Here is a 2,690-nt window from a genome sequence, read left to right as displayed (position 1 = left end):
TCATATTAAAGGAAGAGAGGAAAATGTATGATCATTTCAATAAATGTAAAACAAAATTCAACACCTGTTTATGACTTTTTAAAAAATCCTCAACAGACTACCAAAAGAAGGAAACTTCCTTCAACTGATAAGCTACATCTCATGATATTTAATGATAAACTACAAACTTTCCCCTAAGTTGGGAATTAGGCAAGGATGTTCATTCCAACGATTTATATTGAACATTGTTCTGGAAATATTAACAAGTGCAATAAGGCAAGAAAATAAATCCAAGATGTGGGGAAAAGCAAGAGAGATCAGATTGTTACTGTGTCTGTGTAGAAAGAAGTAGACATAAGAGACTCCATTTTGTTCTGTACTAAGAAAAATTCTTCTGCCTTGAGATGCTGTTAATCTGTAACCCTACCCCCAACCCTGCGCTCCCTGAGACATGTGCTGTGTCAACTCAGGGTTAAACGGATTAAGGGCTGTGCAGGATGTGCTTTGTTAAACAAATGCTTGAAGGCAGCATGCTCGTTAAGAGTCATCACCACTCCCTAATCTCAAGTACCCAGGGACACAAAACACTGCGGAAGGCCGCAGGGACCTCTGCCTAGGAAAGCCAGGTATTGTCCAAGGTTTCTCCCCATGTGATAGTCTGAAATTTGGCCTCGTGGGAAGGGAAAGACCTGACTGTCCCCCAGCCCGACACCCGTAAAGGGTCTGTGCTGAGGAAGATTAGTAAAAGAGGAAGGAACGCCTCTTGGCAGTTGAGTTAAGAGGAAGGCATCTGTCTCCTGCTCGTCCCTGGGCAATGGAATGTCTCCGTGTAAAGCCCGATTGTATATTTCATCTACTGAGATAGGGGAAAACCGCCTTAGGGCTGGAGGTGGGACATGCTGGCAGCAATACTGCTCTTTAAGGCATTGAGATGTTTATGTATATGCACATCAAAAGCACAGCACTTTTTTCTTTACCTTGTTTAAGATGCAGAGACATTTGTTCACGTGTTTACCTGCTGACCTTCTCTCCACTATTATCCTATTGTCCTGCCACATCCCCCTCTCCGGGAAACGCCCGATAATGATCAACAAATACTAAGGGAACTCAGAGGCCGGTGCCGGCGCGGGTCTTCCATGTGCTGAACGCCGGTCCCCTGGGCCCATTTTTCTTTCTCTATACTTTGTCTCTGTGTCTCTTTCTTTTCCAAGTCTCTCCTTCCACCTGACGAGAAACGCCCACAGGTGTGGAGGGGCAACCCATCCCTTCACCAAGGCATAAATATTGGAAAGGAATATGTAAAAGCATATCTATTCATACACAACATGATTGTTTATGTCAAAGATTCTAAAACATCTACAAAACAAATATTCAAAGTAATAGGTAAATCTACCAAAGTGGCATAATTTAATATACAAAAAGCAATTGTACACCTTTATAATGGCACAAAACTATTGGAAAAATTTAAGCAAAGAATTCTGTTTATCATAGCATCAAAACATAATATGATTCAGGAAAAATATCCACAACACATGATTCTTATATTGAAAGCACAAAAATTGCTGGATAAAGACTACATATTATTAAGATGCCCATTCTCCTCAAAGTAATTACTAGGCTCATGCAATAAAATAAAAGTCTTGGCAGGTTTTTTTTGTAAAAATTGAAAAGCTGTTTCTAAAATTTATGGGGAACTTCAAAGGACCTCTAACAGCCAAACATTAAAAACAAAGAACAAAGTTAGTGGCCTATTTATATGACTCCAAGTCTAACTGTAAGGTTTCAGTAATTCAGACAGTGTGGTAGAAGCAAAAGGATAGAAAAACAGATCAATGGAGAATAGACGTTCTAGAAATAAACTCAGACTTCTAAAGTCAGTTGATTTTTAACAAATGTGCCAAAGTAGCTCAGTTGGGAAAATAAAGTCTTTTCAGTAAATGGTGCTGGAGTGACTGGATAACCATATAGAAGAAATAAATAAATCTTTACCCATACCTCACAACATACATAAAATGTAATTAAAGATGGATCATGAAATAAATATAATGCTCAAGCTGCAAAGTTTCTAGAAGAAAATATAAGTGAAAATATTTGCAATCTGGGGGAGGACAACGTTTTGTAGACAGAACACAGAAAGAGATAAATATTAAAGAAAAAATATTGACAAATTAGACCTAACAAAAATATAGAACTTCTGTTTATCAAAAAGATGCCATTAAGAAAATGAATATGCAAGCCAAGTACTGGGAGAAAATAGTCACAAAAAACATATTAAGCATAGTGAAAAGGAAGAACACTATGTTTCCCCCGACTCCATTTTTTTGTTTGTTTGTTTTGAGATGGAGTCTTGCTCTGTCACCCAGGCTGGAGTGCAGTGGCGTGATCTCGGCTCACTGCACCTTCTGCCTCCTGGGTTCAAGCAATTCTTCTGCCTCAGCCTCTTGAGTAGCTTGGACCACAGGTGTGCGCCACCATGCCTGGCTAATTTTTGTATTTTGTATTTTTAGTAGAGATGGGGTTTCACCATATTGGCCAGGCTGGTGTCGAACTCCCGACCACGTAATCCGCCCTCATCCTCCCAAAGTGCTGGGATTACAGGCATGAGCCACTGTGCCTGGCCAACTCCATTATTCTTTATTATAGCTCCCTACTTTTTCTGTTTTGCCATTTATTATAATAATCATCCATTTGCTTATTTGTTTAGTGTCTCT

General features: G+C 39.4%; 2 annotated features.

Annotated features, from left to right (window-relative positions):
- Positions 305–962: an enhancer, noted in NCBI's record as "OCT4-NANOG-H3K27ac hESC enhancer chrX:138424361-138425018 (GRCh37/hg19 assembly coordinates)". NCBI's record gives its function as "activates a minimal SCP1, AML or CMV promoter by ChIP-STARR-seq in naive and primed H9 embryonic stem cells {active_cell/tissue: H9 hESC(naive and primed)}" and the evidence as "EXISTENCE:reporter gene assay evidence [ECO:0000049][PMID:30033119]".
- Positions 963–1,620: an enhancer, noted in NCBI's record as "NANOG-H3K27ac hESC enhancer chrX:138423703-138424360 (GRCh37/hg19 assembly coordinates)". NCBI's record gives its function as "activates a minimal SCP1, AML or CMV promoter by ChIP-STARR-seq in primed H9 embryonic stem cells {active_cell/tissue: H9 hESC(primed)}" and the evidence as "EXISTENCE:reporter gene assay evidence [ECO:0000049][PMID:30033119]".

Source organism: Homo sapiens, chromosome X (genome assembly GCF_000001405.40).
Source record: "Homo sapiens chromosome X, GRCh38.p14 Primary Assembly".
NCBI lineage: Eukaryota > Metazoa > Chordata > Mammalia > Primates > Hominidae > Homo > Homo sapiens.
Note: the sequence above shows the minus strand (reverse complement) of the source record. Positions and strands in the feature narration are given on the sequence as shown.